The 25,435-nt window shown below is 44.7% G+C and overlaps 1 long non-coding RNA gene across 1 annotated transcript in view, besides 3 other annotated features; it reads right to left on the bottom strand.

The window, feature by feature from the left end:
* Positions 1 to 759: 759 nt before the first annotated feature.
* The window catches only part of PAX6-AS1 (PAX6 antisense RNA 1), a 70,476-nt gene continuing 45,800 nt past the window's right edge, over positions 760 to 25,435 (bottom strand). The window contains exons 2-3 of the long non-coding RNA NR_033971.1: positions 2,427 to 2,507; positions 760 to 2,260 (exon numbers count right to left, since the gene is read on the bottom strand). This is a non-coding gene — a long non-coding RNA (PAX6 antisense RNA 1). The remainder of the gene's footprint in view (positions 2,261 to 2,426; positions 2,508 to 25,435) is intronic.
* Positions 10,285 to 13,753: an enhancer, noted in NCBI's record as "VISTA enhancer hs1531". NCBI's record gives its function as "enhancer in: neural tube[8/8] | midbrain (mesencephalon)[3/8] | forebrain[4/8]" and the evidence as "EXISTENCE:transgenic organism evidence [ECO:0001131][PMID:17130149]".
* Positions 11,002 to 11,502: an enhancer, noted in NCBI's record as "H3K4me1 hESC enhancer chr11:31897845-31898345 (GRCh37/hg19 assembly coordinates)". NCBI's record gives its function as "activates a minimal SCP1, AML or CMV promoter by ChIP-STARR-seq in naive H9 embryonic stem cells {active_cell/tissue: H9 hESC(naive)}" and the evidence as "EXISTENCE:reporter gene assay evidence [ECO:0000049][PMID:30033119]".
* Positions 16,689 to 16,818: a silencer, noted in NCBI's record as "silent region_3219". NCBI's record gives its function as "represses an Ori minimal core promoter by ATAC-STARR-seq in GM12878 lymphoblastoid cells {active_cell/tissue: GM12878}" and the evidence as "EXISTENCE:reporter gene assay evidence [ECO:0000049][PMID:35858748]".

Here is a 25,435-nt window from a genome sequence, read left to right as displayed (position 1 = left end):
TAGGTGTTGAGGGTCAAGTGGAAGAGGCTTAAGGAAGGACATATGAGCACCTCATCCAGTGCCTACTAGACTCAAAATAACATAATTACTTCCCTTTCCTCACCTTCCCCTATCTTTTTCTTTTCTTTTCTTTTTTTCTCAGTCGGAGTCTCACTCTGTTGCCAGGCTGGAGTACAGTGGTGTGATCTCGGCTCACTGCAACCTCCACCTTCTAGGTTCAAGCGATTCTCCTGCCTCAGCGTCCCAAGTAGCTGGGACTACAGGCTCACACCACCATGCCCAGCTAATTTCTGTATTTTTGTTAGAGACGGGGTTTCAACATGTTGGCCAGGATGGTCTCAATCTCTTGACCTCGTGATCCACCCACCTTAAGTGCAATCCTGGTAGTCTGGGATATGAATGAAAATCAGCACCTGGAGAGGGCGCTCCTGAGCCAGATGATGTTAGCTAATGGGATCCTTCCATGCTAAGTACTGGGTTTGCAGATGGGATCAGAGGAGGTTTTACTGCCAAATAAAAGGTGGCACTCATGAGGACTGTATTTGCTAAGCACAACTTGTGAAATATGTGCTAGTAAAGCTGGGATAGCCTATTCATTTCTTTACGATTTTTTAAGGGCAACCTTGGGCATTATTTGCATTATCCTCCTTACTCTTAATGTTACTTAGGCTAAAGATCTGACATCTTGATTCCAGACAGAGACATAAGAGCCTAATGAATGGGATAAATCAGGCTCATTTTTAAGAACAACGAGAGATAGAGTTTTAATTTTTTTATTATTAGACTCGTAAGCCATTAAATATTAAGACTTTGTCAACGTGGCCCTGTGCACTGATAAATGAACAATGCCCACCAAGGTGTGTTCTTTTACTACAGGGAAGCTGGAAGAGTTCTGGAGACTGGACCCAGACAAGCGAGCTGGTTGGATGGAGCCCTTAGTCTTCATTTATAGGCAAGAGGCTACACTAGTTTGCACAACCCTAAATTGAGGCATGCTTTGGGAAATCTTCATATCTGCTGATGGGTGTTTAAGGCACAAGTGCTGTAGATGGTACCTGACCATAGGCTGAGGTGCTCTCTGAGTTCACAGTGGGCGGGGGTGGTTTTGGGATGAAACTGTTCCGCCTCAGATCATCAGGCATTAGTTAGATTCTCATAAGGAGCATGCAACCTAGATACCTCACATGGCCAGTTCACAATGGGGTTTACGCTCCTACGAGAAACTAATGCCATCACTGATCTGACAGGAGGCGGAGCTCTGGCAGCAATGCTTGCTGGCTGGCCTGCTGCTCACCTCCTGCTGTGCGGCCCAGTTCCTAAGAGGAACTGGTACTGATCCCTAACCTGGGGATTGAGGACCACTGCAACAGAGGACTCAGGACAAATGGGAGGTCTGCAGGCTGGACTCCTCACCCAGCCAGTCTTTTTATCAGAGACATGGTCCAAAGTCATGGAGGAGAATTTTTGTGTGTGTCGAGCAGAGACTTTCCTTACAGCAACCACTTCCCTCACACCAAAAGACCATTTTGGGGATCATGGAGGCCATTTTTTAAAGTTAAAAATGAACATGAGTGAAGGAAGCATTGTCCTGGGACACTCTCCGGCCTCCGTCTCTTCCCAGCAGCTTCCTGGTAACACCAGAGAGCACCTGAGCTATAAATGTGCAAGCACGATGCTGGCCCCTCGTGTGCACCAGGATAAGATCCTGGATCTGCTCCAGATGTAGCTTCTGACTTGTCCCTGACCTGGGCCAGGCCTGGAGGGCACCTCTCTCCATGTGCCTAATGAGAGGCCTGAGAGATTCCTCTCCAACACTCCTGGGACAGACATGAACGTGTCTGTCTCTCCAGAAGATATTCAGCTTCGTGTAATTACACCTTTTCCAAGCCATGTACAATGGAATTGTTGGAAAGGCCCCATTGACTGTGGGCTTGAGAATCAGTAGGCTCCAACTGGGACAGCTGATGATGATAATGATCTTGCATTTATACAGACCTTTTCATCCAGATGGATCCATAGAGCTCAGCAGAATTTACCACCAATGGTACAAGCATAGAGCCAAACTCTGCCCTCTGCGAGGTGCTGCTCCCACAGAGGTCACATTACTGCTGAGGGCCTTGGTCAACATTGGCCCTCAAGCAGGGGCATTTTCTGGGTCCATGCACTTGAGCTAGAGAAGGAATTTGCAAATCGCGATAGCCCTAGCACAAAACAGGCTGTGTGGGGGCAGCTGGAGAGCTGGTGCTGTGGGGAGCTGCACCTGTGTGAAGAAAAGCAGGATTCAGCCCTTTGCCATGTGCAGAATTCCATTCCTGCATGCCCCGCATGACAGGCAAGGACAGGCCAAAGTTGGGGAGACAGCTGAGTCCCGAAAAAACACTCATGCTGCCTCAAGATAAGCATTTCCCAAAGTGTATTCCACAAACCATTAGTCCTTCCTGGAAGACACTCCTCCAGCAGAAATAATTTGAGGGTCTTTTGAGAAAGGCAGCAGCTGGATTCCCCACCTGAAAAGTCATAATGCACATTAGAATATTAAAGGCTTTGAGGAGTCCTAAAATCAAGAAACCTATGTAACCTTAACCTGTGTATCCCAAGCTGGTTGCACCACAGCGCCCTTTTCTCCTTTGCAACATACTGCAGAACATGGTACGCATTTTGAATAATCTGCTACAGATTTAGACCAGTCTAAAGTAAAGTTTTCTGTCTCCATATTTTTTAATAAAAAATAATATATTCTGTTCAGATCTGAGATAATATCAGAGAGCTGACGGGTTGTTTATCCCATTTTATTTACTAACCATGGGGAAAGTGAAATCCAGGAGGGCTGTCACATGCCAGACAACAACTTAGTAGCAAAGGCAAGCAAAGCAAAAAAGGCAGCAAGCAAAGGGCTTGCAGATCATCAAAAGGTAACTGTATCTCCTAAATCCTGAAAGACACAAAAGCCAGGACTAGCCTTAGACCTCAGTTTGATCCCATGACCCATTATACATAATACAACTATAAATGTAATGACGTATTTTTTAAAACAAGATATACAGCGAAGAAATTCTACATAATCCCTGCCTTGTTTCCTGGATTCCATTGTATGTTTTCTTTTTTTTAGGTGAAAGGTAGATATGTAGTAGGATGCTCCAGCATTTTGGGTCTGAGATATTTGTGGGTTGAGGGTAAGCCTTTGGCATATCCATTAGAATTCCTGCAGCATTCCTGTACATGATTCCCTCCTCTCCACAGACACACAGAAACGTGCAAAGCAAACTCCTGAGAAACCATGAGGTGAGTAGGAAAAGCACTACTGAAGGATATAGCCCTAGACCCATGCTGTCTAATATAGTGGCCACTGGCCATGTGTGGCTATGTAAATTTAAAAGTATTAAAATATTAAAATTTAAAGTTATTAAAATAAAATGATTTAAATTTGTAGTTTAAAGATATTAATATAAAATGAAATTTTCAGTTCCTCAATTGCACTGGTCACATTTCAAGTGCTCAGTATCTGCACGTGGCTGGTGGCTACCACATCAGAGAAGTACAAATTAGAACATTTCTGTCATCACAGAGAGTTCTATTGGACAGTAGATGCACCACCACCATTTTAGCCACAACAGCGCTAGCGCAGGGCTTCTTGCTGCACTGTCTTCAGGCCAATATATAATCCTGGCTTTCTTCAAAAAGCAGGAAACCTACATGCTGAACAAAAGCACTTGCAGATCATCAAAAGGTAACTGTATCTCCTAAATCTTAAAAGGCAGTGATCTTGGAATGACCTAAAAGTATACCAATGCGATGCAGAAAATGCAACTGCAGTGTTTTTTGTCTACTTCCTCCCTCCAAGTTCCAAATTAAACTACCATACCCATCGAATGGACGGGACCACTCAACACCAAGATGTGAGCAATTTCATGGTACACGAATGTTTGGGGGGACTCCTTAATCTCTTTTATTACATCATCCTTGATAAAATATCACTATTTACTTAATATCTGATTACTTTGTCTTTATAGCCCTAAAGTAGGCTTTTGGACTAGATGATAGAGTAGTTTTAGATTCACAGCAAAATGAAGCAGAAAATACACGGAGTTTCAACATACTCCTCTCACTCTCCGACATCCTCCCCCATCATCAACATGCCCCACCAGAGTAGTCCATTTGTTGCAATAGATAAACCTACATTGGCACGTCAATATCAATCAAAGTCCATAGATTACATTAGAGTTGCCTCTTGGTGCTATACTTCCTAAGGGTTTTAAGGATGTGTAATGTCATGCATCCATCATTACAGTGTCACACAAAAGCTTCCCTGACCTAAAAATCCTCTGTGCTCCACCCAAACCCCTAGCAACCAAGCCCCTTTTTCTTTAATAATTCTATTCACTTTCTGGACATTCCTGAACCTAGCCGCTGCTGCTGTGTTTCCTATCTTCTCACTGGATAGACTGAAGTCCAAAAACATTGTGACTCTCCTACGATCACACAGGAGAGCAGTGGCAGACAAGAGAGGGGCTGGCTTTGCTCTGAGCACCCGGCTCTGGCTGGTGGGCAGACTTGCTGCACTCTAGAGCCCTCCCCCTTCTCTCATTTGTCACCATGACCTCATCCTCCCCACTGTGTGGCCTCCCAGCCAGACCCGGGCTGCAGGAGCATCATCATTGCTGATTTTGTTCTGGGATTCGGATGTTCATTCTTTTCTCAGGATCCCCCAGGTTGCTCAGACAGAGTGGCTGCCAGTCAGCCCCAAGAGTCCTGGAATTTGGCCTCAAACCAAGTTTGCCTGGGGCCAGTGCTCTGCCTCTCCCCAGCCCCGGCTGGCAATCAGAGGAGAAAGACTGAACTAAGCTCCTTGGCTCAGGGAAGAGAGCTTCACACTTGAGTTTTAACTTCCAGCTTTCTTAAAAATTCCCAAGGGAATTTTGCATTCCTCGGGTGGCAAAAGATGTACAGTATTTCCCTTTAAGCAGAAGCATAGTTTTCTCGGAGCTGCATCATCTGGGGTCAGTCCAGCTTCTAGGGTCCTTTTCTAGTCCTGCAGTGGCAGAGCCTACTCTTCCTCCATAGTAATAAAACGTTGAGCTGCGCACCGTGGCCACTCAGAATAACACTACATTTCTCCATTTCCCTTGCGGCTAGGTGTGACAAGCTCTGGCAATGAGAGTTGTATAGGCTTGGGGTGTGCACCTTCCAGGAAGAGAGGGAGTGTGAACTTCTCCTCCCCTTTCTTTGTTCCTTCTGGCTGGAAGGGGGGCATAAGAGCTGGATCTAGAGCAGCCCACTTGGGCCATGAGGTGGCCTTGAAAATGGACCTATGAACCACAGATAAATAAGACAGAAAGAGCCTGGACTCCTGACACTAGGTAACATCACACCAGCCTTGGACCACCTTCCTGGATATTTGCATGTGAGAGAAATAAACCTCCAATTGTCTTTAAGCTACTTGTGTGGGGTTTACTGCCATTCACAGATAAGCCTAATGCCAACTAATATAGCTGCTCCAAGTAGTGATAGTAATAACAATATGTAGAAGAAAGACAAGGAGAATAATAGCTGCAACTTTGAATACTGATTGTGTTTGGGGAACTTCACTCAGCATATTAAACAGAGAATATCATTTAATTCTCACAATGGCCCTCCAAGGTGGATAGTACAATCACCATTTACCAATGAGGAAAGTCAGGTGTGGAAAGAACAAGTAACCTGCTTAAGGTGATTCATTAATAAAAATCGAGGATGAGATTCAAAATACTACTCTACAAACAGGAAGGGCTGAGGCCAGGAATTAGGACAGAGAGCAGCAGCAGGTCAGGCAAGGGGAGACAGTGACCCAACAACACTGGATCCCAAACTGTATGATGAAGCACACTGAGATGCCACAGAGAACACTCAGGGCTGCCTCGGAGAGTTTAAAATTTCAAGAGAAACACAGCAGTACTTGACATCTATCAGATCCAGTGCAAACCTCATAGTTTCAACATTGTTTCATGTGCTTCATTTCTTTCCATGTTAGAACAACTGGGGGAAAGTTTCGCTGTTTCTACTGAAGATACTAAGAAGTAAATCTGGAACTGCTGGTGACCATGCCTGATAAGGGATCCAAAACAGGAGAGAAGAGCCAAAAGACACCTGAGAGATATTTGGAATACCATCATGTGAGCACCCATATCCAGGCATCCATGAAGTCTTGCTCATTCAGCACCATGAACAACTTTTGTAATTAAACCTCTTTGAACTGGATTTCTGCCACTTGTAACAGAAAGAGTCTTGGTTAATACATCTACAGTGGGCTTTAAAAATTGGCCAATGAAAAGAAACTGAGAAAAAAAGGTCTTGCATTTGAAGTAATTCCTTAGAAGTGTAAAGAAGCCAACCTGGCCAGGTGCGGCAGCTCACACCTGTAACCCCAGCACTTTGGGAGGCCAAGGTGGGCGGACCATGAAGTCAGGAGATCAAGACCATCCTGGCTAACACAGTGAAACCCCGTCTCTACTAAAAATACAAAAAAAAATTAGCCAGGTGTGGTGGCGGGCACCTGTAGTCCCAGCTACTCAGGAGGCTGAGGCAGGAGAATGGCGTGAACCCAGGAGGCGGAGGTTGCAGTGAGCCAAAATCGCGCCACTGCACTCAATCCTGGGTGACAGAGTGAGATTCTGTCTCAAAAAAAAAAAAAAAAAAAGAGAGAGAGAGAGAGAGAAAGAGAAGCCAATCTGAGGGGTTCCCATTGGCAAATAAGAACTTGTAAGGATTTGGGCAAGGGGGTGAGATGAGGAGGTGATGTTATCTACTATGGTCCTAAATCATTCTGATTCACTAAGACATGGTGGTCTCTCTGGCAAAGAGGCAGAAGGCATCTCCTCACCTCTCCAATGTTGAAGATGTCCATAACCTTGCCCAAGATGTCTCTTCAGTCTCATGTCCTTACCTTCAGTGATCCCTCCTATGTAACATCTGCTACATAAATTAGTTTAGGGTAGAACTAAAGGCTGTTGACTGTTTGTTACCTCAGCCACTTACTATCAATGGGATTTTGTAATAATTCCTTGTCAAGCCTCAGCTTCCTTATCTATAAAATGGGACAGTAATTCCTCTTCCAAGGTTGTCTTGGGAATTATACTATAATATATATGCAAATGCACCTACCACAGTACTCAGCACCTGGTAGACACTGTGTAATTGTGAGTTCTCGCCCTACCTTTTTAATCTCACAGGACTGAGCACACAAGGGGGAATGATTGTTTGGTCCTTTTGGAGATCAGACCCAAATTTGCATTGAATTTACTTCGCATCCACTCTCTCATCAAAACAAATGAAGACTACCATTTAATATTTAGGTTAAGACATTAAGATTCCAGTGTTCTCTCAACCACAACAACCAGTATTTACTGAACACTTCTCATGTTCCAAGTACCATGGCTAGTTCAACAACACGGTAGTGACTATGATACAGCCTTGACCTCAGAGAATTACCAGTCTAACCTTGGCTATGGGGTATAGATAGATAAGGGTTTTTACAGAGCAAAATCATTTGTACAAAAGTCTTTGTAAAGGCTCTGACTTTAGAGGCTAGAAATAACATAAAGGGTCATTTATTCCAACTACCTCTCCTCTCTCTTTTGACGTTTGCAACCTTGACACAACATACCCATGATTGTTCAACGCATGCTTGAACACTTCTCCTGATGGGAGACTCACCCTCCCCCCACAAAGGCTGCCTAGTGTGTCTTTGCACAGCTCCAACCATTGAGAAGTACAGATAGGAAGTTTTCTCTGACTTGAAAGTGTCAGCTATTCTATCAGCTCTCTGCCTGAATCTGACAGAGAACAAAATGGGAATTAGATACGTGTGGTGGTTTCAGCATGAGACAGTTACTCAGTTTAATGCCAAATACAAAACAGAGAAGAAGAGGGAATGCATTTGCCAAAGGGAGCCCTCCCCATGGGCTTTGGCTTGGCCCCAAACTGTTTGACAAAGAGCCACAAACATGGCATGGTCAGAGCACGTCAACCAAATGCATGTGTTCCTCCAAGGGTGGAAAAATATTTGGCCTCCATGAAAACATTATTATTATTATTATTATTATTATTATTATTTATTTATTTATTTATTAACAGTTCCTTTCAAATTAGAGTCTGCCTTTATTTTTACTTTTTATTTTTTAAAATCTCTCACTTTCCTGTCATTAAAAAGTTTGGGCTGGGCACAGTGGCTAATGCCTGTAATCCCAGCACTTTAGGAAGCTGAGGCGGGAGGATCACGAGTTCAGGAGTTCAAAATCAGCCTGGCGAATATGGTGAAACCCCGTCTCTACTAAAAAATACAAAAATTAGCCAGGTGTGGTGGCGCACACCTGTAGTCCCAGCTACTCAGGAGGCTGAGGCAGGAGAATTGCTTGAACAGGGGAAGTGGAGGTTGCAGTGAGCCGACATGGCACCAATGCACTCCAGCCTGGATAACAGAGTGAGACTCTGTCTCATAACAAGAAAAAAAAAATAGTTTGATCTTTAACATTAGCCCTTCTCTTAAATTAGTTCCTCCATCTAAACCTTTGCTGTCCAACATAGTAGCCACTAGCCATGTTTAAATAAAATTTAAAATAATCCAGTGTCTCACTCACACTAGCCATGTTTCAAGTGCCCAGTAGCCAAGTGTAGCTAGTGGTCACCATATTGAACAGCACAGATATAGAGCATATGCATGGAAGCAAGTTCTACTGGACAGCCCTAGTCTGCTCTAGAGTGACTTTGACCTTGAATTGCTTATTAATATGGAGGAAACAAGCATGATTTTTTTTTAAACCAGACAGACCTACAGTCTAATCCTAGCTCCACATCTTAGTAACTGTGTGACTTTGGACAAGTGATTGGACCTCCCTGAGCATCACTTCAAATCCTCCTCCCATTGATGCCACTGGAGAGGCCCCATCCACATGCATTATTTGCACCTCTCATTACACCGCTGGCAACAGGCTGCCTTGGATCTGAGTTACCGATGCATGTTTCTGGCTTTCCCACTAGCCAATGAGCTCCTGGGGACACATTCATCTTGCTACCACAGGGCCGTACTCGTGCCAGGACCTCAATCAGTATTAGATTGAATTAAATCACCTTCTGTGTGATATAGGCCAATTTAAATAGGGTGCAATTCATGGTCTCTCCTGATGGCTCCAAGAAAAAACCAAGACTTGAATAACTAAGAGGTTGGTTGAATAGCTCATTAGTGGGTCAACATAATAACAGCGTAGTAGCAAATGTTTACTGAACATTTACCACGTGTCACTGTGCTAAGTGTTTTACATATATTTAATCTTCACTGAAATAAGATGGATACAAGTATCACACACTAGGTTGCAGATGAAGAAACTGAGACCCAGAGAGACTGGGTAATTTCCCTTAGGGCACACAGCCAGTCAGAAGCAGAGCTGGTGTTAAATCTAGGCTGACTCCAGAGATCACAGGCTGGTCACTCTACTCAGTTGCTTCCTGTGGGACATTAATGATGTCAGTTCTACCTTGAGGTTCAAGAACCCTCACAATGAAGCTGCAAGTGCTGAGTCCTAACCTACCAACAAGATGACCAGAAAGTTCCAAACTTGGTTTTGTACAATCAAACCAGCCTCAAGCATCAGAGAGTAGGAATATTTACATTGGGTAGGAATTGGGTCTGAAGCTGAGATTTAGCTTTCCAAGTCATTTTTTACAAATTATAGTAGACAGTGTCTCTGCCCTCAAAATATGCATGCATATTCACTTCGACTTAGCAATTTCTCTTTCAGTTGTTTATTCTAAGAGAGTAAGTGGGAATGTGCGTGCTCTACCATTTAGCCACAAGGAAAATCATTATAGTAAACTTTGTGGGAGGAAAAAAAATAGAAACAACCCCGGTTTCTATTTTCTTTCTGGTTTGATTGTCCAAATGTCCAATAATTGAAGACTGATTAAATAACCAAACCATGTTTTACCTATAAGTTGCAAAACTTGTCATTAAGAAGACTGTGTTGGAGAGACATATTTAATGCCATGGGAAGACTTTTGGATCACAGTAAATGGTGGGGGAAAGCAGGTTGCAAAACAGTTTGAATCTTATGGCCCAATGTTTGCCAAGTAGTGATAGAGTGAGTTTTCTAGAGGAAAAAAACACCAAGTGTTAACTCTGGGTGGAAGAATTCAGCTGATGTTTGCCCTTCCTTCTTATTTGTATTTTCTAGTTTTTCTATAAGAAACACGATTTCTTGTAGATTTTAACATTGACTATTTTAAAAATCTTCCTAAGGAATCATTTTTGAAACTCCCATGTTTACAAGTGCCTTCACCCCCAGCTCCTGGGCCATCTCCTAGAGGAGAGGCTGCCTCCCTGGAGGAGTGAGGCTCCAGGGCTGATACGCAGTGATGCACACAGCATTTTCCCATTCCTAGGCTAACAATTGGCCTGTGGTTTTTATGTGCAAAGCTATTTATTTTCCAATCAGAGGCATTGAGTCGGGACTTCTGGGGGTAAACTGGTAGCTCTGGACAGCTTTGAAGCATCACAAGTAGGAGGTTTTGTCCCCTGAAGATTTAGGAGAGCAGGCTCTCTTGGATTGTTTTATTGGCTTCTTTTACATATGTATAGCCCTGGAGCGGGGGTGGAGACATTGCTCGTTGGGGATGGACCTCCCCACAGGCAAAAAACCTCAGAAACCAAGGGGAATGTTGGAAATTTCTCAAACATTGGCCCCTTGCCCCCTACACAAACCATAGCCTTAGAGATCTCTTCTGTTCTTCTGTATTTTCTTCTGATGGATGTAGAACTTAGAGGTAAAGAACATTGTCTTTGGAATCAAACAGACATGGCCTGGAACCATAGGCAAGTTCCCAAACTTCTCTGAACTATAGATAAATTCCTCATCTGTAAAATGGGCCAATAATAGTTGCTATGTTATGTTATAAATTGTTGTAAGGAATAAATAAGAGAATTTTCATAAAAGTGTTTAGCACAGTTCCTGGCACATAGTAAGCACTCATTCAATGGTAGCTGTTATTATTCCCCTTCCTATTCCTTCCTTCCTCCTGTCCTTTCTTCTTTCTTTCCTTTCTTTCTTCCTTTTCTCCTTCTTCTCATAGGTTAAGGCTGAACTAACACAATCTTGCAGCTAGAAGTGAGGTCCCAGCACCAATAGACTCCTGTCTCCATTCACTGAATCTCTGCCTCAGAATTTTGCAAACCCCCCAGCTCCATGTGCACGCATGTGTGCACAAATACACACACACATACACACACACACACAGTAGTAGCAGCAGCAGCAGCAGCAGCTCTGAATGTGGTTTTCAGTGTGGCCTTCACATTTCCCGTTGACTCAGGCCCTGGTGCAGGGACAAATTGGAGGAGCAGAGTGTAAATGTTACCTCTTTGGCTCCTCCTCAAGAGGGGCTGAGCACAGATGTTTGCAGGGGCAAGCGCAGCCCCGTAAGAATGGGGGCATTGTGTGCGGGCTCACACAAAGGACCAGTGGCCCCACTAGGCTGCCAGCCTCCCGAGCATCCTCTCTTTACGCATTGATTTATTAGGCCAGGGATGAATGAAAACGTAATTAATATTACTGAAGCATTAGAGTCTATTTAATTTAAATGCCACTGAATATTTCACTTTCAGCTGGGAGTGACAATGTGCTCAGGCCCGGCTGGTGAAAGCCAGGGCCATCTGTTACCCCGGCGAAGGAGAGAGACAGGGGAGGCCGAGAGTGCGAGGCTTTGTGGACATTCCAAAGGTCCACGATCATCATTCAACTCAAGGGCAGCCAAACTGCATTCCTCTGCACAAGCCCCTCAGCCTGGAGGGGGCTTAGAGAATGGGCAGGAGAGAATGCAGAAAATGAAGAGACCTGCCCTGCACCAAGAAAGCCAGGAAGCTGCAGAAGGAGGAGGGGGAGGAAAAGACACACATAAAGGACTGATTAGGAAATTGCAGCATTTGAGGACTAAGGGCTGACCAGCTAGAACTGCACTTTCCGGCAAGGTAACCGCTAGCCATATGCGACTCTTTCAATTAAAATTAAGATAAATTAAAATAAAATGAAATGAAAAATTTAGTCCCTCCATCCCACTTGCCACATTTCACATGTGGTTAGTGGCTGCCTACTGCATTGGGCAGGACAGTGTAACATTTCTATCATTGCAGAAAGTTCTGGACAGCACTGTTCTAGAAGGCGATTGTACCTACATAATTAGAGGGAGAGTGGACCCAGAAATCCACCTGAAGAATCCTAATTGGTTGATTTTTAGGGCTTTCTGAGCATCCAAGAGTCATTTGATGGTCAAGAGCAGGTGCCATGGTGATAGATCATGTCACTCAAATCCCAGCCCTATTGCTTGCCCTCAAACAAGTTATTTAAGATCTGCACAACTCAGTTTCCTCATTTGTAAAATGGAGATAATAATGCGACCTGACTGTACGTTATTGGGGAAAATAATTATCAGGTATTTCCAACAGTGCCTTGCACACAGGAAAAGTCCAACATACATGAGCAATCATTTATGGAAGGGGCTAAAGAGGAAAATGATCTTGAACTAAAGGAAGAATGTTGCCCTGGTGTGTCTGAGCTAGAGGAACATGCAAGTTTTGAATTTGAGAGAATAAATCTCCAGGCAGCCAGCTGGGGGCCCAGATCCTGGTTTCTGGGTTTCTGGGGCTGGAGGAAGGGGTGTAGAGATCCCAGGGCACTTGGTGCAGCTACAGCAGTAGCAGGAGCAGCAGGAGGGGGAAGGTTCCGTCCTTAGTGGGACGATAATTAGCCCGGTGGGTTCTCTCATAATTGGGATCATTTGTTCTCCTGGCTTTTTCTCTGACAACTGATTCCATGCCAGGGGAAAGCTGTGTGACTCACACCTTGCCATGCCAATTAGCTGATAAACATCAAACGTAAACAAAGATGGCCTAATTAAAACTAGTCACTGAACCTCTGTGAGCATCTTGTCAAAATTGCACCAACATTCTGCACCCAGGCTTGCGCTGGGTCTTGGGAGCTAAATGAGGGATTCCATGGAGAATTCACAGATGTCCCCTCAGGAGGGGCCCCTAAGGTGACAGGGGAAGCAGGCAGAAGGCAGAGGAAAGGATTAGCTCAGCCACTTGGATTGGCCCCTCCGGCTGTTCCAGCTGCAAACCTCCACATGCACACAAGGTTCTCATGTGCACATGTGTCATGTCCTCAGCTGCCCCTTTGCACTGAGAAACCATCTCAGGGCTGATCTTCATTTCATGTATAGTTTTTCAGCTGGGTCCTCTTGTTGGTACTTTGGATGTATTTAATTCTGAAATTCTCAAATCACTCAAAATGAACCTCTGTGTGACTCAGTTTTCCTACTGAAAAAAATGGAAATTATGATACTTGACCAATTGCTACTCAATATCATGGTAAGAATCAAATGAGCCTAGGTACATGAAAGCATTTTGCAGAGATAAAAGCGTGATTCCACTTTCAGTTGTTCTGTCTGGCCCAGTACAAAGAGTGCCGCTTTTGGAATCGGATGCACTTCAATCCAAACCTTTTTTCTGCCACTTACTGACTGTGTGAGTAAGTCACTTCACCATTCTGAGCTTCAGTTTCCTCACCTGGAAAATGGGGCTGGTGAATTGTGCCAAAGTAAGGATTAAAGGGCTTGGTATGTATAGGTGCTTAAAGATGTAGTTTCCTATACATGCTACAGGGCTTGGCATGTATAGATGCTTAAAGATGTAGTTTCCTACCCTTTCACTCCTTTCCAAAAGAGTAGGGGGAGGGCTTATTAAACAGAAGAGAAGGAGGAAAAGGAGGAGGCTTCCTTATCCCCTAGGCTCCATCTGCACATATACCCCTTACTCTCTGCTTTGGTTCTCTGTCCTTATAACTTACCTACATTTAAGTCCTAGCTCCTGGGACTTAATTATTGACAGTTCTTCAAATGCACCAGTCAGCCTTATACCACTGTGATTTTTCCTATGCTATTCCCTTTCCCTGGAAGTACCTTCCCCACTGGGTGAAAACTTTCTCTGTTCTTTTTTTTTTTTTTTTTTAGAGAGAGTCTCACTCTGTTGGCTGGAGTGCAGTGGCATGATCTCGGCTTACTGCAAACTCCACCTCCCAGGTTCAAGCGATTCTCCTGCCTCAGCCTCCCGAGTACCTGGGATTACAGGCTCCCACCATCATGTCTGGCTAATTTTTGTATTTTTAGTAGAGATAGGGTTTCACCATGTTGGCCAGGTTGGTCTCGACCTCCTGACCTCAGGTGATCTGCCTGCCTCAGCCTCCCAAAGTGCTGGGATTACAGGCATGAGCCACTGCACCTGGCAAACTTTCTCAGTTCTTAAGCCTCTGCTCAAATCTCTATGGAGATTTTTCCAACCACCCTCTTCTCTCCCTCCTTCAACCTGGAGAAACAATCACGTGGGCTGTTCCTTCACTGTACACCCTATGTATGTTCAATCACCAAGTGGTAATGTAAAAGTGCATGAATACATGCATGGAATGCATCAATGGTTGAAATATGTGGCTATACCAGTATTGTACCAGTCCCTGCCCTCAAGGATTCAAAACCTTGTGGAAGAATCAGACTTGCAAATTACTTTATGTCTTAACAAGTTACTAGGTGCTTAGTTGAAAGTAGCTTCCCCTCACCTCCGCCTCCAGACTATGAACCCCTAGAAGGTAGGGATCTTGTCTTACACATAATTATCCCCAGCACCCACTACAATGCTTAAACAGAGTAGGCTCTCCATGCTTTTTTGAAGCAATGAGTGAATAATTGAATCAATACGTGAATGAGTTAATAAGCAAACCCTTCATTTTGTATCAGTGATTTTGTCTGCCTTCTGTCCACCTGTGTCATAGTGTCTTTCCAAACTGGCTTTCTGTGGACACCCCCAGGAGGGAGCCCAGTACATTGTCCCATGCAACTCACACCCACTAACGACCTGTCCTTTTGTCTAGTGTAAATCTTAACGTTTTGCTCCCCTCAAAACTTGTCAAAAATAAGGGAAGACAAATAAATAGAAAAGAAAAGAAATCACCTGTAGACAGCCAGCATGCAGCCTTTGGTCTATGTCCCTCCAGACCTCTGCCTATGCTATTTATCTGCACACAGAGTAATGATTATATGCCCGGACTCTGGAACCACACTGCCTGGGTTCAACTCCCTCTTCTGCAACTTAAGGGTTGTGTGAACTTAACTGCATCTGCCATTTTCTCAAGTTCCTTCAGCTTGAAACATTCAATATATCAAGGTGCCATATTTGGGGGCAGCAATGTCCTGAAGCCCATCACAAGGTTCTTAAGCTCTCTGTACCTCAGTTTCTTCACCTAAAAAATAGAGATAATAATGACACCTACTTTGCTGTTGTTAAAAGGATCAATTAAGTTCATACACATTAAGTGTTTGGTGGATAGTAATAACTCAACACCTGTTTACTGTTCTTATTTGTCCTCGTTAGTGGAAACTGCCAGTGCCCAGCCAGCGCCCTGAAGCCACTCATGATAACCAAAAAGCATGCGATCTTGTTGGTGACTCTGAGATGAATCACCCCAGGTTGCAGCTCTGAATGTTATGATTATTTCCACCCAAAGCTGGTCTCTGTGTCAGTCCTGAGAGCAGACCTGAAGATGAAATGCAGTTGTAGCTTAAGACAGTACTAGTTTCACTGAACCATCTCAATGTAAACAAAAGGATTAAAGCTGTTCCATGGCCCAGTTAACACCTCAGCTAGGCCAAGTTTGCCTGGATAAATAGAGATGCAGTTCATTATCAGCCTTCTTTAAGCTGTGTCACCTGAATCAGGAAATACCCCATCCCTGACAGGATGTGGGCCCTTACCATGGCACACCTGCCTGCTCAGCAAAAAGCCCCCTTTGGGTGCCTTAGAAAGGGGCTTTATCACCAGCCTGGTCTTCCGGAGGCGGGACCCACACACTGCCTAGCCCAGAAAGGTGTGGGGCCCTCCTGGCACCAGGAACTTGAGGCTGGTTTTGGCAAGGGCCCTGTTTCCAAAACAATCATGACGGTATTTGGTATACTGGAAGGACTGGGGACTTTGGAGCCTGCCAGGCCAAAGTTTGAGGCCATGCTCTGCCGTTTACCAGCTAAGTAGCTCAGAGCCCCCATTTCCTTATCACATAAAGTGATCCATGTACCTATAGCTGCCAGGCACACAGAAGGTGTTCCTATGTGAAAGCTGTCATTAGAAGCCACCTAGGAGATAGCGGTGGTGATGGCACAGGGATCACAGGGAGCAAGCTTTAGTTCTGGCTGCCTTCTTCCCACTTGGCAGTGGACAGCGCTCCTGGATGAAGAAGCCAGAAGACCCCAGGCTGTGCAGATGGGGCCCTGGCTGAAACGCAATCCCCTTCCTGTCCCCAGGAGCAGGGGTAGCCCCAGCAAGTGGAGAAATAAGACTTCTGAGAAAGTGGAGAAGAGAACTGCCTTCACGGAGGCGCAGAAGGGGCTGCAAGAATGCGCTCTACCCCAAATCTCTCCCACTCCCACCACGAGCCTCATTGTTTGACTTCGGGCTTGGGTCTCTATTCAAATGCAAACACCAGGAGGCGCCTTTGCATTGTGGCCAAACGCACAGGGATAGGATTGACAGCAGCAGCTTCCTTGAGACCGAGAGTTGACAGGGAAGGGAGTGGGAGAAAGGGGCGTGGCGGGCCCTTGCCCAGGCAGCGAGGAGGTAATTCAGAGCCCGGCCCGGTGGGCAGAAAGTGCTCAGTTTTAGCCAGAGTTAGCTCTGCCCACAGGCAAGGCTGTCCCTGCTGCAGGACCTCCTCTCTCCTCCTGGCCACACAGGGAGGACAGGCTCTGGGGAGAGGGCCAGGGGGGATCCTCCTCTGGGAAAGGCAACTAAGCAGGAACCAGGCTGCCTCATCGGTGTCTGCTCTGCCTCTGAGTGACCTTGATCAAGCCTCCTACTTCTCTGAGTCTCTGTTTCCCCATCTGTAAAATGAGGGCAGGAATGGAATACATAGGGTTATGAGAAGGGCTAATCATTAAGCACCCAATCAATGTTAGCTCTGGCTAATTTTCCAGCAGAAGTGTGCAACTCAGCCCTCCAAGGAAAGGGCTGTAAGTCCGTTAAAAACCAGCTGGCCCGAAGGCGACATGGTATCCTGGATTGTGTCCTAGGATAGAAAAGGGACATTAGTGTAAAAGCTGGTTAAATGCAAATAAAGTTTGTAGTTTAGTTAATAATATTACCAATGTTAACGTGTTAGTTTTGATAAATGTACCAAAGATGATGTCAACATTAGGGAAAGCTGAGTAAAAGTTATATAGGAACTTTTTTTTTTTTTTTTTTTTTTGAAACAGGATCTCACTCTGTCACCCAGGCTAGAGTGCAGTGGTGAAATCTTGGCTCACTGCAACCTCTACCTCCTGGGTTCATGTGATCCTCCCACCTCAGCCTCCCCAGTAGCTGGGACTACAGGCACGCGCCACCACATCCAGCTGATTTTGTGTTTTAGTAGAGACAGGGGTCTCACCATGTTGGTCATGCTGGTCTCTAACTCCTGACCTCAAGTGATCCGCCTGCCTTGGCCTCCCAAAGTGCTGGGATTACAAGTGTGAGTCACCTCGCCCAGCCTCTCTGTGCTATCTTTACATCTCTTCTATAAATCTAAAGTAATTTCAAAATAAAAAGTTAAAAAAATAGCAAGAAGTCTTGCCACTCTGGAAAGAAAGCAAACAGCATTCCACAGACACTTCTTAAGGGTAATAGCTCCTATTCGTGTTATTCCACACACATATTCTTCCAAATGATAAATAATAAAATATAAAATAATGACCATTTCAGCACTTACTGTGTATCAGGCATCAGACTGGATGCTTATTATACATCATCTCATTTAGTCCTGACAACAAAGGTAGGTATTTCTGTTCTCATTTTATAGAGCAGGGAAATGGAAACTGATGACACTGTGCAGCTAGGAAGTGACAGAGGATTTCTAACCATTTCTGTCTGCTTCTAAAGCCCATGCTCTTTATACTGGAGGAAGGGGGAAAAATGGAGATAATTGGAGGCTGCAAGCTTTCATCTCAGACCCAACAGTCAGATTTAAGAAGCTGTGCCTCAGTGGGACCAATCTTATGGCTTAGAAACTAATTATTGTCAGAGGGTGGAGGTTATATAGACACACCAAGTACTGCCTGAAAATTGAATTAGTCAAAGTACATCACTGTTGTTTATTATAGCAAAAAATAAAAAGAAAGAAATAGCCTAAATGTCAAGCAACTGGGAATTTTACAGAGTTAGTGATGGCATATCCATACAATAAAATAGGGAACTGTTCAAAGTAATTTTGTATAATTTTATGTGTGACATTCATCAGTTAGAATACTTTGGGCTATAAGCAACAGAAAAATGCAGCTCAATCAATTCAAATTAAACAATAAGTCATTTCTTATCTTTAAAAAAAAAACAACAATATCTGAAACTGCTGTAGTTCCAACCATTATGTGCAGGAATGACAATATGTGGTATTTGATAGGTGCAAAAGTAATTGTGGTTTTTAATGGCAAAACTGCAATTACTTCTGCACCAACCGAATAGAAGTGAGGCTGTTCCTAATTATTCCTTTGTATCACCAAGGATCCCATTTTCCCAAACCTGCCATCAGTCTTGCCATCGCTTTAGCCAGAATTATGTCACATTCTGTCATTACCTCAGTCACTGGCCAGGGGAACGGACTGCTATTTTAGCTAAGCCCAATTGTCTTTTACACTAGAAATTAGAAATAGTGTCTGCTTTCCTGGAAACATGTTGCCTCTCAAAGGAGAATGGATGCCTGAATTAAAACAGGGTTTTTGTTAGGAAGGTAGAAAGGGACAGGCTGGTGCAGTGGCTCACTCCTGTAATCCCAGCATGTACGGAGGCCAAGACAGAAGGATCGCTTGAGCCAAGGAATTTGAGACCAGCCTGGGCAGCACAATCAAACCCCGTCTCTACAAAAAAAAAAAAAAAGTAAAAATTAGCTGGGCATGGTGGAACAGGCTTGTGGTCCCAGATATTTGGGAGGCTGAAGTGGGAGGATATTTGGCCTGGGCAATAGAACAAGACCCTGCCTCAAAAAAAAAGAAAGAAAGAAAGAAAGAAAAAGAAAAAGAAGGGACAATATCTGCTGTGTGAGAAACCAATAGTCTTCTGCTGTGACTATTGAAATGAAAAAATGGGCTAGGTGTGGTGGATCATGCCTGTAATCTCAGCACTTTGGGAGGCTGAGGCCGGTGAATCATGAGGTCAGGAATTTGAGACCAGCCTGGACAACATCGTGAAACCCCATCTCTACTAAAAATACAAAAATTAGCTGGGCGCAGTGGCGGGTGCATGTAAATCCCAGCTGCTCGGGAGGCTGAGGCAGGTGAATCACTTGAGGAGGCAGAGTTCGCAGTGAGCCGAAATTGCGCCACTACACTCTAGCCTGGGTGACAGGGTGAGACTCCGTCTCAAAAAAAAAAAAAAAAAAAAAGAGAAAGAAAAAGAAAAGAAAAAAAAGAAATGGAAAAATGGCTGTAGCGTGTTATTGAGTGTAAAAAGGAGAACGTATTTCAGAAAAACTCAATATGATGATCCTATTTATGTAAAACGATTCATACATTTATGTGTGTAAATGCATACAGAAATATCTTAAAGGATATTCTTCAAAAATTAACAATCAGTTATCTCTAGACTATGAGGTTTTAGGAATATTTTACATTATTTGGACTAGGCTTAATTCTTTGTGTTTAGCTGTATTGAATTATTTGTCATGAGTGTGTGTTTTTCTAAAAAAAAACAATAACTATTTCTTTGGGAGATTTTTGTTGTGTTTTAAATTGGAAAGAACTTTGTGTGGAAAAGGTTAGGAACTGCTGTTTTAGACTTTGGAGACTTTTCTGATGAGTTAAAAATTATAACAGGGGGCTTGTTCGGTTTTGCCTTACAAAATGTTTATTTATTTGCATGCCAGTTTCAAAACAGCCACAAATTCTTTGACATTCCTTCTATTGAAATGTGGAGTCTATGTCACTTCTACCTAAACCTGAATGACTGTCTTGAACAATAGAGTATGTCAGAAATGACAGTGTGTCTAAGTCACAAAAGATCATGCAGTTCCCATCTTGCTCTCTGGAACATGGACACATGGACTTTTTTTTTAGTCGGAATCTTGCTCTGCCACCCGGGGCTGAACTGCAGTGGTGTGATCTTGGCTTACTGCAGCCTCCGCCTACGTGGTTCAAGTGATTCTCCTGCCCCAGCCTCCTGAGTAGCTGGGACTACAGGCACGCACCCCCATACCTGGCTAATTTTTGTATTTTTAGTAGAGATGGGGTTTCACCATGTTGGCCAGGCGGTCTCTAACTCCTGACCTAAGGTGATCTGCCCACTTCGGCCTCCCAAAGTACTGGGATTACAGGTGTGAGTCACTGCGCCTGGCTGAACATGGACTTTTGAAACCTCAAGTCTGCAGTAAGAAGTCTGACTAGCTGCGACCATGTTGTGAGGAAGCCCAAGCCACGTGGAGTGGCCACACGTAAGCCACTCTGGTCAACAGTCCCAGCTAGGCCCAGTCAGGTGCCAGACATGTGAATGAAGAATGATTTTAGTCCCCAACCACTTGAGTTACCTGCAGCCATTCAAGTCTTCCCTGCTGAGGCCCCAGATAATCATGAAGCAGAGGTGAGTCCTCCTCACTGTACTCTGTCCAGACTCTTGCCCCAGAGAAACTATGAGCCTAAAAACATGGCTATTATTTCACACAACTCAGGGGCCATTTGTAACACAGCAGCATACAATGGAACAGTTTGTTTGTCCACGTGTTTATTTTTAATGCTATAGATCTGTTCTCCAAGGCACAGGTATGGAGGCCAAAGGTTTGTTCTTGAACATGTCAGAGAAGCTGAGGGCAAGAAGATGCAGGGGGTAGAAAGGCATTGGGAGTCACAAAAATTTTCCACACTCAGGCTGGAGGGACAGGAAGGATAGAGGCACACATCACTGAGACACTACTCAGATGGGAGTAAGGCAAGAAGGGTGAGGTTTATGTCACCAGTGTTACAGGCAACACGAGGGAAAAGGAGACATCTTGAGAAATGGCTCAGAGCAGCATGGGCTGCTGGGAAAATCCAAAAAGCACAAGAGTTGTCGAGACTGAGAATAATTTCCACCCATCAGCTGGGTGACTTTGGGCAAATTCCTCAACCTCCTTCCAAAATAGAGAGCCCTGACAGTCTAGGGAACGTTCATGAGCTCAGCTCACGTGTGTGAAGTCCAGTGGATGTGTGCACAAGGCCTCTCCCCTGCCAGGGGGAGAGATGTACTCCAAGGACAAACACCTCCTTTTTTGTTTTTGTGGTTGGATTTAAGATTGAAGATCCCAGTCACTTTAAACTGTATATATATAGTGTATATATATATACACTTTAAACTATATATATAGTATATATATATAGTAGTAGTCATTGGCTAGGTAGGAACACGGTGAAGAGGAAAGAGAAGAGAGTGTTGGAAAGGGAAGAAAGTGTCAGGAAAATAGCAGCAGGCAGGAAAACAGTCTGGTCAGCATGGAGACTGTGGTGCCCTGGTTAGGAAGCCCGACCGACCTGGAGTCAGAAAGACCTCGGTTTCACCCTGGCATGGCTTCTTCCTGGCTGGGCTGCTTTTGAAAACCTCCCCGGACTTGGGTGTGCTCCTCTGTGAAAGGAAGAGGCTGATGAGCCAGACCCGGGAGGGCTGTGACCACATTAGTGTGCTCTGAATTCCAGCACCTGTCACGCAGAGGGGCTGATGGCATGTCAGCGCCTGCTTCCTGTGCACACCTCCCTCATTCTACAGGCCAGCTGGACTTTTTTTCTCAGCAAGAAAGACCCTCTGTGAAGGCCTGACCACTTTCCTATGGAGATCTCTGGGCATCAGCCACTCACGTTAAATTCCCACGTGAGCTCCTTCCCCAAACAACAAGAGGGCACTGCCCATCTTCGCCTGTTGCCTTCTCTTCTCGCCCCCTGCCACCCCTATCTGACTGGTGGCCTCAGTTTCCCCACACACCCTGCTGGCTCCTGTCCTCAATGCTCATGCTCTGGGTCCCCACCCTGTGGCGTGCTCCCCTTAGCCTCACCTAGTTACATCCACCTAGTTACATCCTTCCAGGCCCACCCTGAGCCACCAAAACAGCCCCTTGCTGATCTTCCAGCTCCATGCCTGAGCCCCAGGGCTTACTGCCTCACAGCTGCCAGAATGGTTTCTTTTTAAACACACAAATTATATCATGTCACTCCTGCCCCAAGACCCTCCACAATAGCCTGCATCCTTAGAATAAACCCTGAAATTCCTTCCCCAGCCTCCAGGCCCTAGCTATTCTCCAGTCCCTTCTCCACCACTGTCCCCTCCCTCACCACTCTGCAGCCATGCTGGCCTCCTCACTATCTAGAGGGCACACTGAGCCTGCAAATGCTTTCCCTAGCTACCCAACACCTGCCATTTTCTCCTGGTTAGGGTCAAGCCTCAGACTCCCTCATCTCTTCAGAGAGGCCTTTTGGGACCACCATCTGACCCCACTCAGCTCCACTCACTTCCACCATTTTATCTTATCAAAGCTTTTTTGTAGCTCTTATCCATATCAGAAAATATCTGATATATGGATTGATTATCTGTGATTAACTATACACACACGCACACATATGCATGAGACAGGGTCTCCCTCTGTTGCCCAGGCTAGAGTTTAGTGGCACCATCACAGCTCACTGCAGCCTGGAACTCCTATCCTGAGCTCAAGTGATCCTCCCTCTTCAGCTTCCCAAGTAGTAGGACTACAGACACACACCACCATGCCCAGCTAATTTTTAAATTTTTTGTAGGGACAGGGTCTTGCTATGGTGCCCAGGCTGGTCTCCAACTCTTGGCCTCAAGCAATCCTCCCACCTCCCAAAAGTGCTGGGATTACAGATGTGAGCCACCCCAACTGGCCAACAATATACAATAACAGCAATCAATTATTACTATTATTGATTAACAAATTCAATATTTCTATCCAGTAATAGTATTCTGAGATCGGTCTCCCTCCACCAGAATGGAAGCCCCTTGAGGAGAGGGACTCCTTCCTGGCCATCTTTGCATCCCCAACACCAACAACGGCTCATAAGTGTTGATTGACTTCCTACTTGAAGAAGCTCCTCCTGACTGTCTGCACCCTCTCCAGCGTCTCCATCTTTGGAGTCCCTGAAGTGCTGATTTGGCACTACTCCCACATCGCTTACAGTGGAACTTTGCGTTCAGATGCGTCCTGGCTCCCAGGTACATTTTAAGTTTCTCCATCTTCAGTGTCTCTCTGACCCTGCCCCACCCCCACATAGTTCCTAGCACAGGGCCCTTGCACAATGTAGATACTCAAAAAAAATGTTATTATTTATCTGGTTGGCTGGTTGGCACTTTTATCCTCTCTTCAGTCCCCATCTCACTCCTTTGGGCTGAAAGTTTATCCCTGATTGTTTTCCTCCTGTGGTTAGTGTCACAATTACTCCCTCTTATTGCTTTGATTGTGATATGAACTTCACTCTCTGTGAAAGGATGCTCACAAGGGTTCACTTAGGAAGTGAGTTTCCTAATTTCATGTCCAATGTAAACAGAGGCAAATATGTAATTATCAAGCATTATTACCACTTGTAATTACCCCGACTTCTCAGTCAACATTGTGAACTAAAGAAATGAGCGTGAAGAATGGAGTGTTTAAAATTTGCCCTCTTGTCCCTTAAAATATTTACTTTTCAATCATGTCTCCAAATAGTTTAATTATGTCTGGTTATCTAATTAGTGCATGTGTGTGGTATTTACAGGCCATCCAGAGTAAAGCTTTGTAACTTTCCAAATGTCTGCATTTCACTGAGTGTCCCATCAAATATTTCCAAGTATTCATTTCCAAGGCGCTGTTCCTAGACTGCTAAACACCACCATCAACAGCATCTCTGTAGCAGTTAAGAATCTTCCTGAGTTAATTCACTGAAGTATTTCCCAGGAGTCCCGCATATTGAAGGGCTCCACTTATAGACCAGAGTTTTTTTTTCAGTGTGGCCCAAGGGCTGCCATCAGAATGACGTGGAATACTTTTCAAATGCTGATTCTCTGGGTCAGGCCAGAATTGTCAAATTCACATCCCAAAGGAGAGAGCTAAGTAATCTGCATTTTAACAAACTCCCTGGGTCAGTCTCATTCACACTGAAATGTCACTGAGAAAGCCACTTTCCCGCCCTATCCTGGACCTGTGTCTTGCTTCCATGTCTGCTGTGGAATAAGCAAAAGGAATGTCAATGCAAACAAAAGCACAGCTTCCTGTAGAACACTACAAATCTGGTCTCTTGGAATTCTGAAATATGTCTGCCAGAGAATCAACAATGATACCTGTGCTAGTTAGAATACCAGTTAGTTGGCTCCTACAAAAGCCAAAGTAACAGTGGCAGGCTGGGCTCAGTGACTCACACCATTAATCCCAGCACTTTGGGAGGCTGAGGCGGGTGGATCGCTTGAGTCCAGGAGTTTGAGACCAGCCTGGGAAACATGCCGAAACTTCATCTCTACAAAAAAATACAAAAATTAGCCGGGCTTGGTGGTGCACACCTGTAGTCCAGCTACTCATGAGGCTGAGGTGGTAGGATTGCTTGATCCTGGGAGATTGAGGCTGTAGTGAGCCATGATTGCACCACTGCACTCCAGCCTGGATGAAAGAAGACCCTGTCTCAAAAAACAAAAAAAAATCACCAACAACAATAAAGTAACAATGGCTTAAAAAGACAGATTATTTCTCTCTCCAGTAACAGTTTATGTGCATGTATTAGTCCATTTTCACACTGCTATAAAGAACTACTTGTGACTGGGTAATTTATGAAGGAAAGAGGTTTAATTGACTCACAGTTCTGCATGGCTGGGGAGGCCTCAGGAAACTTACAATCATAGTGGAAGGAGAAGGGGAAGCAAGGCATGTTCTACATGGCGGCAGGAGATAAAGAGCACACAGCAGAAACTGCTGCTTATAAACAATCAGATCTCATGAGAACTCTCTCACTAGCATGAGAACAGCATGGGGGAACCGATGTTGTTCATGACCCTATCACCTCCCACCAATTTCCTCCCTGTACGTATGGGGATTACAATTTGAGATGAGATTTGGGTGGGGACACCAAGCCAAACCATCAGTGCAAGCAGGCAGGGCTGATGTGATGTTGAAGACTCTTCTATCTTGTTGAGCTCCTATACTCAACACACAACCTCTGTCTCTTATCCTAAGATACCTGTCCCAGATCCAACCACCCTGTCTATATTCCAATCAGTGAGAAAGGGGAGTGGAGAGTATGGCCCTTCCCTCTAAGGGCATAATCCTGAAGTTGTACACATCACTTCTTCTCATACTCTTCTGGCAACTTCTAGCTGCAAGAGATATTGAGCAATATACACCCTTCTCTTTTCCTG

The sequence above is a fragment of the Homo sapiens genome, chromosome 11, assembly GCF_000001405.40.
Source record: "Homo sapiens chromosome 11, GRCh38.p14 Primary Assembly".
In the NCBI taxonomy this organism is placed as follows: Eukaryota; Metazoa; Chordata; class Mammalia; order Primates; family Hominidae; genus Homo; species Homo sapiens.
Note: the sequence above shows the minus strand (reverse complement) of the source record. Positions and strands in the feature narration are given on the sequence as shown.